This window comes from Homo sapiens, chromosome 3, assembly GCF_000001405.40.
Source record: "Homo sapiens chromosome 3, GRCh38.p14 Primary Assembly".
Lineage (NCBI taxonomy): Eukaryota > Metazoa > Chordata > Mammalia > Primates > Hominidae > Homo > Homo sapiens.
Window position 1 is genome coordinate 39,445,270 of NC_000003.12, and position 15,387 is coordinate 39,460,656.

The 15,387-nt window shown below is 42.9% G+C and overlaps 1 annotated feature.

The window, feature by feature from the left end:
* Positions 2,696-2,865: a silencer, noted in NCBI's record as "silent region_14229". NCBI's record gives its function as "represses an Ori minimal core promoter by ATAC-STARR-seq in GM12878 lymphoblastoid cells {active_cell/tissue: GM12878}" and the evidence as "EXISTENCE:reporter gene assay evidence [ECO:0000049][PMID:35858748]".

A 15,387-nucleotide genomic window follows, 5' to 3' on the forward strand; every position in this document is an offset into this window, starting at 1 on the left:
GGGAGATAAGACATGAGAGAAGTCCCTGATACAACTGCTTTGAGTGAAGGGCTCACATATACCCTTTTCTTTCCTTTTTTATAACTTTGAAAAGTCATCTTTTAAAATTTCAAATTTTGACCATCAACATAAAATATTCAAGACACTTGGTACTATATAATATATAGGCAACAGAAGAGGAGAAACCCTATTTTAAGTGTGTAAATATCATCTGCCACATTAAGGTAGGGATTTCTCATATCAATTCTACATAGTGCTAATTTTTGTATTTTTAGTAGAGTTGGGGTTCCACCCTATTGGCCAGGCTGGTCTCGAACTCTTGACCTCAAGTGATCCTCCCTCCTCAGCCTCCCAAAGTGCTGGGACTACAGACGTGAGCCACTGCGCCAGGCCAAAACACAAGTCTTTTAGAAATGTTTAAATAGCTCATCTGATCACAGTATCACCATGTGAATATTTTCTAACTTTTCCAACTTAATTCTATATTGAAAAATAAGTTGCTTGGCCTGGAATAGTCCCTAGATACCTGTAAGAACAATTTTTTAAAAAATTAATATTATTTTAAATAAATTACAGTTGTATACATTTAAGGGATACACTGTGATGTTTTGATATAGGTATACCATGTGGAATAATTAAATCAAGCTAATTAACATATCTGTCATCTCACTTATTTTTTCAGAGGAGATATTTGAAATTTACCCTCTTAGTTATTTTGAAATATACATTATTATTGACTATAATCACCCTGATGTGCAGTACATCTCAAAACTTACTCCTTAAATAAGTTAAGTGGGGAAGTGAGACAAGGGTGGAAATAGGCCAATAAAGGGTACATTTCTGAGACAGTAAAGCTGTGGTCAACTGGGGTTTCACACACTGGGAGCTCAGGGAAGCCATGCAGAATTGAAAGCAAGCAGCGAGTGGGCAGATGGGGAAAATGATGAACAAGTTCCTTCGATTTGGTGATCATTGTGTTGTACTGAAAGCTTCAAAAATGGAAGTTTTTGGGTGCTCCATTCACTGAATATTTTGATTAAATGGTTTCAATGGGTTTTAAGCAAAAACAAATCAAAAATTAAAATAAATATTTTATAAAAATGAGTAGGGGCACAGTTTGATTTACACAGTAGTTTTTCAAAGGTTCAAAAATTTCTAAAATCTGATGATCAGTACCAAACTTCAAATAAAAAGTGAGCAAAATTCATTTAAAAGAACAGTCATTAAATAGAAAGTCACCTTCCTGGTGTGATCTGTAAATGCGTGTTCTGTAGCTGCACATTTTAAACTGTCATTTTAGGGCACAGTCTTCTTAAAATACCTACTTATTTTTGGAGTGGACATTGAGGCTTCCTCAGCAGATTTCTATCTCTTTTGGGGAATGTGGGAGGTGGGAGGATCAGTGAATCACCACAGCTCCCACATGGAAAGTAAAAGCTTATAGACAATTTGTGCAAGTTCCATAGTCATCTCCAACTTTTTGGAGAAACGGATTTAACACCTAATTTTCTATTAACCTTGATTTTCATTTATTTGAGCTCATTGCTACCAAAAGCTTTATTGCAGAATGCAAAATCATTGTCAAATAATTGAATCAGTAGTTGCAGATTTACATTATGTAGAAAAATGATAAAGCCAGTGCAGCAAAAGCAGAGTACTCCGTGTTCTTGATGGGAGGATTTCTCAGCTTCTTTCTTACCTGTAATTTCCCACCTACCCCAGCAACTGACAGTCCAGCTTTTTGCATTTCACATGCTGCAGTTAATTGTCACTGTGTATCTTGTTGGTACTCACGTTGTTAGCAGGAGCAGCAGCTGGGATTGCTTTTATCAGCATCCGAGACAAGTAGGAACTGACTGTCTCTGGGCCTCATGTCCCAGCACATTCTATAATTTTAGCAAGTGCCTTGAATGCTGTCTTTGAAATGCAGGTATTGGTTAAGCTGCTGCATTTGGAAAGAGCAGAGCAAGCAGATATGATTACTGCTGATCATCTTTCACTAAGCATGTCTAAGTGAGAGTTCCTTTTACTGCACGTGTGTGTCACGTGCCATGACCAGAAGAGATAATGGCCCAAGTGGGGTGGACACAGTGGATGCTTACCAAACCCAGCCTGACTTATTTTAATGCAGCAATTAAATAATACTTTGGGCTGGGCACGGTGGCTCACGCCTGTAATCCCAGCACTTTGGGAGGCCAAGGCAGGCAGATCACTTGAGGTCAGGAGTTCAAGACCAGCCTGGCCAACATGGCAAAACCCCTTCTCTACTAAAAATACACAAAAAAATTAGCCAGGTCTGGTGGCATGTGACTGTAATCCCAGCTACTCAGGAGGCTGAGGCAGGAGACTCACTTGAACCCAGGAGTTGGAGGTTGCGGTAAGCTAAGATTGAGCCACTGCATTCAAGCCTGGGTGACAGAGTGAGACTCCGTCTCAAAAATAAAAAATAAATAAAAATAAAAATAAAAACTTTGTCACAAAATGGACAATCTTGGACAAATGATAAACTGGAAAGGACACAGGGAAAAGAGACCTAAAATGGGTCTGTCCCAGACCGTTGGGATGTTTGCTCACCTCTGTCAAGCATGCCATCCAGCTCCAGCGGCTTGTGGGCCTTGGTGGAGTGTGGAAGCTGATTTGGTTAATATCTCAGTCTCCAGTTGCGATGCGGCAGCGAGGACTGAAATCTTGGAAAATCCCACTCCCAAGCCCGTACTCGTTGCATACATGACACCTCCAGCCTGTGATCACTTTCAGCTGTTTCTACTGACTCATTCTGGCCACAAGAGGGCAGTATAGCGTAGTGAGTATGAGCACAGACAGGTCAGGCTTCCCGAATTAAGATCACATTTCTTCCCCTGACTTTGTGACTGGGCAAGTTACTGAAGATCTTTGAGTTTGAGTTTCAACATCTATAAAATGAGAATAATAAAAACATCAAATAGGGGTGTCGTGGGGGAACAGATGAGATAAATGCATGAAGTGCTTGAAGAATATAGTCATATAAAACTTAACGATGGGAATACTTTCTGAGAAATGTGTGGTTGAGGCCATTTCATCATTGTGCAAACATCACAGAGTGTACTTACACAAATAAAGATGGCATAGCTTTTACACACCTAGGCTATATGACATAGCCTACTGCTCCTAGGTTACTGTCTTAGTCTGATTGTGTTGTAATAAAGGAACACCTAAGGCTCAGTAATTTATGAAGAAAAGAAGTTTATTTGGCTCATGGTTCTGCAGGCTTGAAGCATGGTGCCAGCATCTGCTGCTGGTGAGGGCCTCAGACTGCTTCCACTCATGGCGGAAAAAGAAGGGGAGCCCTCATGGGCGGAGATCACATGGCAATAGAGAAGCAGCAAAAGAGTGGGAGGGCAAGGTGGCAGGCTCTTTTTAACAGGCAGATCTCAAGGAAACTCATAGAGTGAGAACTCACTTATTACTGCGAGGCTGGCACCAAGCCGTTCATGAGGGATTCCCCACACCATGGCCCGAAGGCCTCTCGTTAGGCTTCACCTCCAACACTGGAGATCAAATTTCAACCTGAGGCTTGGAGGGGACAAATATCCAAACCATAGCCACTATAAATGTTTACAACATGTTACTGTACCGAATACTGTAGGCAATTCAAACACAATGGCGTTTGTGTATAAAAACATATTTAAACAAAAAAGCGGCAGTAAAAATGCAATAAAAAAGATAAAAAATAGTACACCTGTATGGGGCACTTAACATAAATGGAGCTTGCAGCACTGGAAGTCACTGTGAGTAAGTCAGTGAGTGAGTGTGAAGTCCCAGGACATTACTGTACTCTGCTCTTGACTTTATAAACACTGTACATTTAGACTACACTAAATTGATTTATTTATTTATTGAGGCAGAGTCTCACTCTGTTGCCCAGGCTGGAGTGCAGTGTTGTGATCTCAGCTCACTGCAACCTCCACCTCCTGGGTCCAAGCGATTCTCCTGCCTCAGCCTCCTGAGCAGCTGGGACTATAGGCACATGCCACCACACCCAGCAAATTTCTGTATTTTTAGTAGAGATGGGGTTTTACTATGTTGGCCAGGCTGGTCTCGAACTCCTGACCTCAGGTGATCCACCCCCTTGGCCTCCCAAAGTGCTGGGATTACAGGTGTGAGCCACCGCGCCTGGCCTAATTTTTGTATTTTTTGTAGAGATGAGGTTTTACTATGTTGCCCAGGCTGGTCTTGAACTCCTGACTTCAAGTGATCCATCCTCCTCCGCCTCCCAAGGTGTTGGGATTACAGGCTTGAGCCACTGCGCCTGGCCTCTAGCAGTCCTGCTCTGAGGTTCTCACAGTCCCACCTTCTCTCTGCAAGTAGCTGAAGAGTCAGAATGAAGAACAGGAGGAGAAGACGTGTGTCATTGAATGTTATTTCCAATTTGAAATTTTTGCCTCAATTGAAACATTTACTTCATTTAAGATAGTGTAATTACTGATTGATGCAATGGACTGAATATTTGTGTTCCCCGACTCCCACCAATTCATATGTGGATATCCTTACCCCAGCATGACAGTATTAGGAGGTGGGGCCTTTGAGAGGTGATTAGGTCATAAGGGAGAAGACTTCATGAATGGGATTAGTGCCCTGATAAAAGGAACACCAGGAAGCTCTCTTGCTCTCTTTCTGGTATATGAGGCATAAAAAACAGTCAGCAGTCTGTAAGCCAGAAGAAGGCCCTCATCAGAACCTGGGGCCATGCGGGCATCCTTATCTCCGACTTCCAGCATCCATAACTGTGAGAAATGAATTCCTGTTGTTTGTAAGCCATCCACTCTGCGATGCTTTATTATGGCAGCCTGAATGGATGGTGAGAATATATTTTGTTCATCTCACTATGTTCTATTTGTCTTGCCTGTTTTTCTTTATCCACTGTTTTAGAATTAATCTTTAATTTAAAAATTTAAAATTGAGATATGATTTATTTACAGTAAAATTTCACCTTTTTTTGTTTACTTCTGTAAGTTTTTAATTTTTTTAAAAAATATTTAAAATTGTTTTTGAGACACAGTCCCACTCTGTCATCCAGGATAGAGTGCAGTGACGTGATCATGGCTTACTGCAGCTTCAACCTCCCTGGCTCAAGTGACCCTCCCACTTCAGCCTTCCAAGTAGCTGGGACTACAGGTGTGCACCATCACACCCAGCTAATTTTTGTATTTTTTTGTAGAGACAAGGTTTCACCATGTTGCCCAGGCTCAAGTGATCCTCCTGCCTTGGCCTCCCCAAATGCTTGGATTACAGGCATGAGTATTTTAAGACAGATCTCACTCTACTGTCTGGGCTGGAGTGCAGTGGTTTAATCATAGCTCAGAGCAACCTTGACGTCCTGGGCTCAGGAAATCCTCTCACCTTTGCCTCCTGAGTAGCTGGGACCACCAACACACACCACTATGCTCAGCTAATTTTTATTTATTTTTTGTAGACATGGGGGTCTCACTATGTTGCCCAGGCTGGTCTCAAACTCCTGGGCTCAAGTGACTCCTGGGCTCCTACCTTGGCCTCCCAAAGTGCTGGGATCACAAGCATAAGCCACCATGCCCAGCCTAGTTCTATGAGTTTTGACAACACATACAGGTCATTACCACCACCATGATCAACATACACAATAGTTCCATCACCCAAAGAATTCTCCCGTGCTCTTTTATAGCCTTCCCCAACCTCCTCCTACCCCTGCCCCTGGCAACTGCCAATATTTCTCCATCACTTTAGTTTTGCCTTTTCCAGAATGTCATATAAATGGAATGATGCACAATGCAGACTTTTGTGTCTGGCTTCTTTCAGTTAACATAATGCATTTGAAATTAATTCCTGTTGTTGAAAGTTCCAATAGTTTCTTCCTCCTTACTGTTGAGTAGTATTCCATTGAATGAACGTACCAGAGTTTGTTTATTCTCTCACTAGTTGAAAGACATTGAGTTTCCAGTCCTAGTTTCAGTATTTGGTAATTATAAATGAGGTGATAATAAACATTTGTGTATCAGTTGAGTTTATTTCTTTAGGGTAGTTAAGCAGTGGGATTTCTGAGTCATATAGTAAGTACACCTAGTTTAACTTTTTGAGAAACTGCCAAATTGTCTTCCAAAGTGGCTGTCCTATTTTCCAACCCCACTAACAATGTTTAAGAGTTCTGGGCCAGGTGTGGTGGCTCACACCTGTAATCCCAGTACTTTGGGAGGCTGAGGTGGGCGGATCACTTTGGGCCAGGCATTCGAGACCAGTTTGGCCAACGTGGTGAAACCTCCTCTCTACTAAAAACACAAAAATTAGCCGGGTGTGGTGGTGCACACCTGTAGTCCCAGCTACTCAGGAGGCTGAGGCAGGAGAATCACTTGAACCTGGGAGGCAGAGGTTGCAGTGAGCCGAGACTGTGCCACTGCATTCCAGCCTTGGTGACAGGTTGCTCTGCAACCTCACCTGCATTTGGTATTGTCAGAAATTTTCAAAAACCCATTTAATGGGTTAATAATGCAACATCATTGTAGACATAATTATATGCCCCTAATTATTAATGATGTTGAGCATCTTTTTTGTATTTGCCACCTATATTAATCTTCATTCGTAAAGTGTCTTTCAATTGTGTTTTCATTTGAAACTTGGTCATATTTTTCTATTTCTTTATATGGCAAGTAATTTTGGATTGCATCTTGGACTTTTTATTTTATTTTTTTTAGAGACAGGGTTTCTCCATGTTGGCCAGGCTGGTCTTGAACTTTTGGCCTCTAGTGATCCACCCGCCTTAGCCTCCCAAAGTGCTGGGTTGGTTGGTATGTTGTGTTGATTCTCAGTCTTGTTAGTCCTCTGGAGAACATTTGGGGGGTTTGTTTTAGAAGGCATTATTCAGCAGCTTTTATCCTAATTATTTCTTCCTTGAAGATAATCTGTCTTTTTTCCTTTGGCTGCTTCTCTTCATGTATTTTTTTTCCTAAAAAATTTTTATAAGTGTGTCGATGTGTGAATTTCTTTTTATTTATCATGCTGAGGGTCTTACCACATCTTTAGACTTTGAATTGATGTCTTCCAATATTTTGAGATACAATTTTTATCCAGCATTTTTTCAAGCGTTGATTGTCTCCTCTATTCTTTCTCCTATCCCTCTGGGATTCCGGTTAACTACATGCTGGACTTCCTTACTATTTTCTTTAGTTTTTCTTTTGTGTGTTTCATTCTTTTTTCCCTCTGTGCTGCATTCTGGATATTTTATTTAAACTAGCTTTTTCTTTTCTTTTTTTTTTCTTTTGAGACAGGGTCTCACTTTGTTGCCTAGGCTGGAGAGCAGTGAGTTGCTAGGTTGGAGTTACCTAGGCTGGAGATCTTGGCTCACTGCAGCCTCAACCACCTGGGCCCAGGTGATCCTCCTACCTCTCAGCCTCCTCAGTAGCTGGGACTATAGGCATGTGCCACCACGCCAGGCTAATTTTTTGTATTTTTTTGTAGAGATGTGGCTTTGCCATGTTGCCAGTCTGGTCTTAAACTCTTGGGCTCAAGCAATCCTCTTGCCTCAGCCTCCCAAAGTTCTGGGATTACAGGCATGAGCTACCACACCCTGCCTCAACTAGCTTTTTGATTCACTAATTCCCTATTCAGCTGTGTCTAATCTGATTTTATACTAATCCGTTTAGTTGGTAATTTGCATTTTAAAACTTCTGAGTTTTAAAATTTTTATTGTGTTTTTTTTTTTTGTCCAATTTGCCAGGAAGTTTTTATAGTTTTCAGGTCACAGCCAAAGTTTTCAGTTTTGTCTTTCATCTCCTTGTTCATAATAAGCATAGCTACTTTGAAATCTGTGTTAGATAATTCCATTATTAGGATCCTTTATGTTTTTGTTTCTGGTGTACATTTTTTCCTGCAACTTCCCATTTATATTGTCTATTCACATGCTTTATAGTCTTTGAATATGGGTAGGGATTTCATTTAAAAAGTTGTTTGAAGAAATAACTTGATAACTTGGAGACTGTTACCTCTCTCCAGAAAACATAGTCATTTCTCCTTGCTTGGGTAAACTATTAACCTATATTTACCTCCAGAAACAGAATTTTCTGAGTCAACCAGGTGACTGCAAGACTGTGCAAGGACGATTTTACTTCCTGTTTGCCCTTTTTCTTAGGGCAGACACTTGTGCTCATAGCCCAAAAATTTGGGAGATTTATCATTATTAATGGGCTCTAATCAAACTTTTGTTCCCTTAGCCTGGTGAAAGTGCTGTGGTGGGCTAAATAGTTGGTTCCCAAAGATACCCATGTCCTCATTCCTGGAACCTGTGAGTATGTTACCTTATGGGGCAAAAGGCATTTTGCAGATGTGATTAACTTAAAGATCTTGAGATGGGAAGATTATTCTGGATTATCTAGGTGGGTCCAATATAATCAGAGGAGTGCATGTAAGAGGGAATTAGGGGTGGGAGAGAGAAAAAGATGCAAAGCAGAGGCATGTGCGGGCAAAGCAGAGAGACAGGGAGAAAACAGAGAAGATGGGTACAATGCTAGCTTTGAAGACAGAGAAAGAGGTCGCAAGTCAAGTGCTGGGGAAATACAATTAAAAATAAAATCTCCTACCACCCTAGAAAACATATCCAAAAAGTAAAAGAAAAAGAAAATAGTTTTATTATCGAATAAGCATTAAAGCAGGATGTAATGCACATCACAAGCAATCTACTAAAGAGATTATGAGGATAGAAAGATATTTCACCCTTTTATACCTCTGTGTATGCCTTTTACACCCTCTATGTATGTGTCAGGTAGACATATACAGAGATGTTTTCTTTCTTTTTTTTTTTTTTTGAGGTGGAGTCTCACTCTGTCACCCAGGCTGAAGTGCAGTGGTGTGATCTCGGCTCACTGCAACCTCTGCCTTCCCGGTTCAAGAGATTCTCCTGCCTCACCCTCCTGAGTAGCTGGAATTACAGGCGTGCGCCATCATGCCTGGCTAATTTTTGTATTTTTAGTAGAGACCGAGTTTCGCCATGTTGGCCAGTCTGGTCTTAAACTCCTGACCTCAGGTGATCCGCCTGCCTTGGCCTCCCAAAGTGCTGGGATTACAGGCGTGAGCCACCACGCCCGGCCAGATCAGATATTCTCAAGATAAACAATAGCTAGTCCTCTAGCAAGAGGACCGGACAGCACCTCTTAAGATAGACACTTCAATGACTTTCAGCCAAAAAAAAAAAAAGACATTTGATTGACTTCAGCGGCAATGATTCAGTGCTTCTCTCCCTCTCCACATACTTCAGAAGAAAATAACACTGTCACAAAACTTTCAAAGATATCATGAATACAATTTGTTTACAGACTTTGTCACACATAGTTCATCCTAAATTCACCTGATAATTGGAGTAGCCATCTATGTAGCTAACTGCCGTATCCAAAGGACAAATAAACTTCTCTTATCTTTAAGACAGGAGGTTGTTTTGCAACTTGGAGTGAGGCACCCACTGAAGGTAGGCTCCCATCCTCCCACAGGAACTGGGAGACAGGGGGGCCATGTCCCTTGATGCTAACATTTCAAAGAGATGAAGCCCAGATCCTTGAGAAGGACATTCCTGGGCTATGAAGTCTGCAAGAGGGCTTATTTAAGCTTTTAAAAAGATTTATACACATCCCAAAGAGGCAGAGAAAGAACTTAGAATGGTAAGTTTTCTAAACTAAATGTTCTTAAATAGGGGGAAGTCTCTTCCCTGATTTTCTTTTTCTTTTTTTTCTTCATTTGTATTTATTTATTTATTTATTTATTTATTTATTTATTTCAGTCTCCTAGCTATGAAATTCTAGCTCACTGCAGCCTGGAACTCCTGGGCTCAAGGAATCCTCCTATCTCAGTCTCGCGAGTAGCAAGAACTACAGGTCCATGCCATCACACCTGGCTAAGTTTTTTATTTTTTTGTAGAGGCAGGGTCTTGCTATGTTGCCCAGGCTGGTTTTGAACCCCTGGCCTCAAGCGATCCTCCCACCTCGGACTCCTAGAATGCTGGGATTATAAGTGTGAGCCACTGTGACTGGCCTGATGGGTAAGATAGAACAGGTGGTTTACTGAGGAGACAGGACCTGCCTATAGCACAGTGAAGTTCATACGGAAGTGTTGGGGTCCAAAGAGAATTGAGAAATAAGACCCTGGGGACCAGCCAGGCCCCAAGGAGGTGGCAGGAAAGGAAGGTGAGACCAGGCAAATTGGCTGATTGTTTCCCTGAATGTGTGGCTGGCTAAACCTTGGGACTGGGAAAGTTTTTTTGGTGCTTTTCTGAGCTCAACTTTTGGGTGCTCATGCCTTGCTTTGAAAGGGTTTTGTCTATGAACCTAGACATCTTTCAGTAATTACTTAAGTTACTCAGAAAACTGGGGGCCCTGGAGCGAAAGGAAGAGACAAAAGGGGGGAAAAATCCATGTAGCAGTCTGGTTCTGTTTGATCTGGAAGACAGCGGGCAATAATGGAAGAATGCTGGAGATGGAGATGGAGGGTGGTTGGATTCCACCATCTTGAGCCACGTCTGCTGTTTGGACTTGCAGACTTCAAACATGGCTGGGGGATTCCTAATTGGAATCAAGCTAATTCCCTTCTCGGTGTTTAAAGGGAGCAGTCACTGCTGGGTGAGATGGTCGCAGATCGGATCCTGGACACGGGGTTATGTGTTTGCTTTCCGAAGACGACTGCATTAATTGCAGCTCTCACTAATGGAAAGGAGCCTGTTTCTTTGTCCACGTGGTCAAATGAAGCCTGGGCATGGTCACTTAGCTCTGGGTGTAGGGAGGTGCAAGATTTAGGCTCGGGGCCCAGGACCCCCCAGTCTGACATCTCCCATTTCTAGGCTACCTGGGACCTCCCAGAATCTGCGACAGCATGAATAGGACATAAGGGTGGTGGGGGCGCCGGGGGGATCCCATCCTTATAGCATCGCCCCCCAATTCACTCCTAGTTAACCCTGTTGTCGCCAACTTAGTGAAAACCTCGCCTATGTCTCCATCACACATCTGCCACCTCCAAGTGATGGTTAAGCCGGTGTGCAGGCCGGTGGTGACAGGGATGGGGACGGCGCAGTCCCCATCCCCGCACCAGGCAGCACCGCCACTTCCTCGCCAGCCCGGCCGCAGCCCTCCCCGTCCCGGGCCGCGCCGCTTTGACTGATCTCCCCTATTTTCAAAAGGGAGAACTGAACCTCTTTTTCTTCTCTTTTCTTTCTTTTTTTAGAGACAAGGTTTCGTTTTGTCACCCCGGCTGGAGTGCAGTAGTGTGATCATGGCTCACTACGTCCTTGAACTTCTGGGCTCAAGCGATCCTCCCCGTTCAAGCCTCCTGAATGGCTAGGACTACAGGCACGCACCACCACGCCTGGCTAATTTTTATTTTTAAATTTTTATGAAGACGAGGTCTTACTATGTTGCCCAGGCTCGTCTCAAACTCCTGGCCTCAAGCAATCCTCCCCCGTTAGCCTCCCAAGGCATGAGCCACTGCGCCTGGCTCTTTTTCTTTCTTATTTTCAATTTGTACTGCCTTTACAGCAGCAGTGTAGGTAGCGCCTCCTGAAGAAATGCAAGTTGAAAAGGGGAACATATTATTTCCCAGTCTCCAGAAGAAACGCAGTCCTGCCGGTATCCTGATTTTAGCCCAGTGAAGCCAATTTTGGACTTCCGACCTTCAGAACTGTAAGATAATATAGCTGTTTTAGGTTGTGCTGTTTTAAGCCATTAAATTTGTGGCACTTTGTGGCATCAACAATAAGAAACTAATACACTAATCAATATACTCCTTGTTATATGATAAGGCAAAAAAACAAAAAACAAACTATGTGTACACAGTAGATCACTATTGTAGCTGGCTACCATATGAGAATCACCTCAGAAACACATTGAACGTAACTGTGATTGCTTTTTCATCATTTACTCTGTCCACTGACCTAGATTACAGAATTCTGGGTAAGACACACTCGATTTAATAATTGAAGTGTTAAAGTTTTATGGCATGAATATTTAATACAAATAGGGGTTAATTCCAACCATGTCTTTTTCATTCCTCCTGGAGACCTGTTTGTATCATTGGAAATGGTCTGGCTGCTAGTTACAGAGGCCTAAACTAACAGGGGCTTAGTTAAGATAGGGGCATATTTTTCACTCGTAAAAAGTGATTCACAGGTAGGCAATCCAGAGATTGCACAGATGCTCCAGATATTTTCCGTGTTTCAGAGTCCTACGTGTGCTCTGCCTGCCTTAGTTTTTAATTCTCATGGTTACAAGATGTCCACCTTAGCGCCATAAGAAACATCCCATATTACAGGCAGGAAGAGGGGAAAAAGGGAAGGATAAAAAGGTGCCTGCCGGTGGAGCAAGTCTAACCCTGAAAGAATGTTCCTGAAGGCCCAGCAAGGCTCCCACGTGCACGTCATCACTGGGCACCAGCACGTGCAGGGAAAACTAGGCAGTGTAGGTTCTTTGTAAAGCTAAGTGCGTTGCCACTCAAGTATCAGAGGGGCTCTGGGACTTAGAAGAAAAGGTAGAGGAGGCATCAGGTAGGCAATTAGTGGTTTCTGATGTGCTGTTCTTTCCAGACAGCTCAGGGTATTTGGATGCTCTCTCCTGCCCTCCTGCTACCTAAACTTGGGTGAGACTGGTGTGTCTGGATGACAGGTTGAGAAAAATTCACGTTTATTAGTTGTTCATACTGTTCTTTGAGGAAACACAGAGGTTTTTCAGAACTGCTTTAGGGATTCCACAGACAATATATATTTTTCTTTTAAATATGAAGGTTTAGGCTGGGCGCAGTGGGGTTACATGCTTAATCCCTGCACTTCTAGGAGGCCACGGTGGGCGAGTCACTTGAGGTCAGGAGTTTGAGACCAGCCTGGCCAACATGGTGAAACCCCATCTCTCCTATAAACACAAAAATTATCCAGGTGTGGTGCCACGTGCCTGTAATCCCAGCTACTCAGGAGGCTGAGGCAGGAGAATCACTTAAACCAGGGAGGTGGAGGGTGGAGGTTGCACTGAGCCGAGATTACGCCACTACCCTCCAGCCTAGGGAACAGAGCAAGACTCTGTCTCAAAAAAAAAAAAAAAAAAAAGGAAGGTTTAATGTTCCCATGGAGCACAACTATTAATTTTTATAATTTATATCAGAGATTCTTAAACATTCTTTTTTTGGTCTTATTTTTTGTTACCACAGCAGAACAGATTTTAAACATTCTCGATTCAATTCTTCACGGCCACAGTCAAAAGAAATACTTAATAGCTCGCTTTAATAACTTACATAACTTTTATGTTCTAACAAGTTAGAAGTGATTTGAAAAAAATCATAGACTCCTGGCTTCACAAGGGAAGCTGCAGACCTTCCTGGTATTACAGCTCATGAACGCAGGGCAGACCCAAACAGTGCGCAGCGGCAACACTTATCACGAACAGCAAAACAACAAACAGCTGTTTGCCCTGCTAGTTCAGGTGGCCTGCTTTTATTCCCTTATTTGGCCCCACCCACATGTTGCTGATAGGTCCATTTTACAGAGAGTTGATTGGTCCGTTTGATAGAGTGCTGATTGGCCCATTTTACAGAGTGCTGATTGGTCTGTTTTTACTGAGTGCTGATTGGTGTGTTTACAAACCTTTAGCTAGACACAGAGGACTGAGTGGTGCATTTACAATCCTTTAGCTAGACAGAAAAGTTCTCCAAGTCCCCACCCAATCCAGAAGCCCAGCTGGCTTCATGTCTCAGCAGCTCACTGCAACCTCCTCCTCCCGGGTTCAAGCTGTTCTCCTGCTTCAGCCTCCCAAGTAGCTGGGATTACAGGGGTCTGCCACCATGCCTGACTAATTTTTGTATTTTTTGTAGAGATGGGGTTTCACCATGTTGGTGAAAGATTCTCCCGAGGCCTGAAAGCTTGAAGGGATGAGTAACTCCTCCCTTCTCAGGCACAGTCCCAGGGCGCAAAGCCACTTGCACCAGCAGCCTGCGTCAGCAAGATAGCAGAAGCAGGAAGAGAGCTGGCCAGAAGACACCTACCCTTGAAGATTGAGAAAGAGGCCATCCAGGTACCACGTAGCAGTTACGTCAGATTGGGACACTTCCTCTTTACAGGAGACTATAAAATCCTTTCCCCTCCTCACCTGGGGCTGATGCCATTTTAGGCCTCAGCCCACCTCTACCGAGGTGCTCATAAAAACAGCATGTTGCTGGCTCATGCCTGTAATACCAGCACTTTGGGAGGCCAAGGCGGGCGGATCACAAGGTCAGGAGATGGAGACCATCCTGGCTAATACTGTGAAACCCCGTCTTGACTAAAAATACAAAAAATTAGCTGGGCGTGGTGGCAGGCCCCTATAGTCCTAGCTACTTGGGAGGCTGAGGCAGGAGAATGGTGTGAACCCGGGAGGCGGAGCTTGCAGCGAGCCGAGATCGTGTCACTGCACTCCAGCCTGGGCAACAGAACGAGTCTCCGTCTCAAAAACAAAAACAAAAACGAAAACCAGTATGTTGCTCCACACCGCCTTGTGTTGTCTGTTGGCGCACTCCCGGGGTTGGAACTGATAGAAGAACCTTTCAGTTGGCCAGGCTTGTCTTGAACTCCTGACCTCATGATCCGCCTGCCTCGGCCTCCCAAAGTGCTGGGATTACAGGCATGAGCCACTGTGCCCGGCCTCTTGGGACAATTTTAATTGGTGGGGATCCTTTTTATTAAAAAGAAATCTTGCTGGAGTTGTGTTGTAGTCAGAGCCCTCTTTGAGAAATCCTCCCAATGAAGTTAATCTTTCTCAAATTTGGTCAACAGCTGAGAAGCGATATTTGGAGTAAATGGGAGAGGGTTAATGGAAACTTTAGGTAAAAAAAGATTAAGTTGAAAACAGGCTATTGTCAGCTCAGCCACATGTGTTGTCTACACCTTATTGTGGATTTCAGATCAATAAGATCAGAAATCAGATTTTTAGTTTATCAAGGTGCAATAAATTAGAGAAGGTAGCTTTTATTTATAAACATCTTATTGTGCCCAGGCAGTGTTAAAAAAGAGCCTTAAAAAACAACAACAACAAAAAACAGAGCCTGATAATAAATTCCAATATATTAACTCACAAGGGTTGTCAATTACTTGGGATATGTGATTTTCTCAAGACACTTTCTTAATAAACTACCAGATCACAAAGTGACAAATGTTTGGCTGCTTGGTAAGCATAGAATTAAAATAATGGTAATTCTCCTTTCAAAGGTTAGTTCCATCAATGTTGGGTCCTGCTCCATGGTGCATATTTCTTGTCTAGTGAAAACTTGTATTAGGAATTAGAATTAGGCTTCCTCCACTGCTGCGGGCTGACATCACATTGTTACATTCTTATTCTGGGTCTCCCCTTTTGCTAGAATCCTTGCATATTGCTACCCCATATCCACACTTTC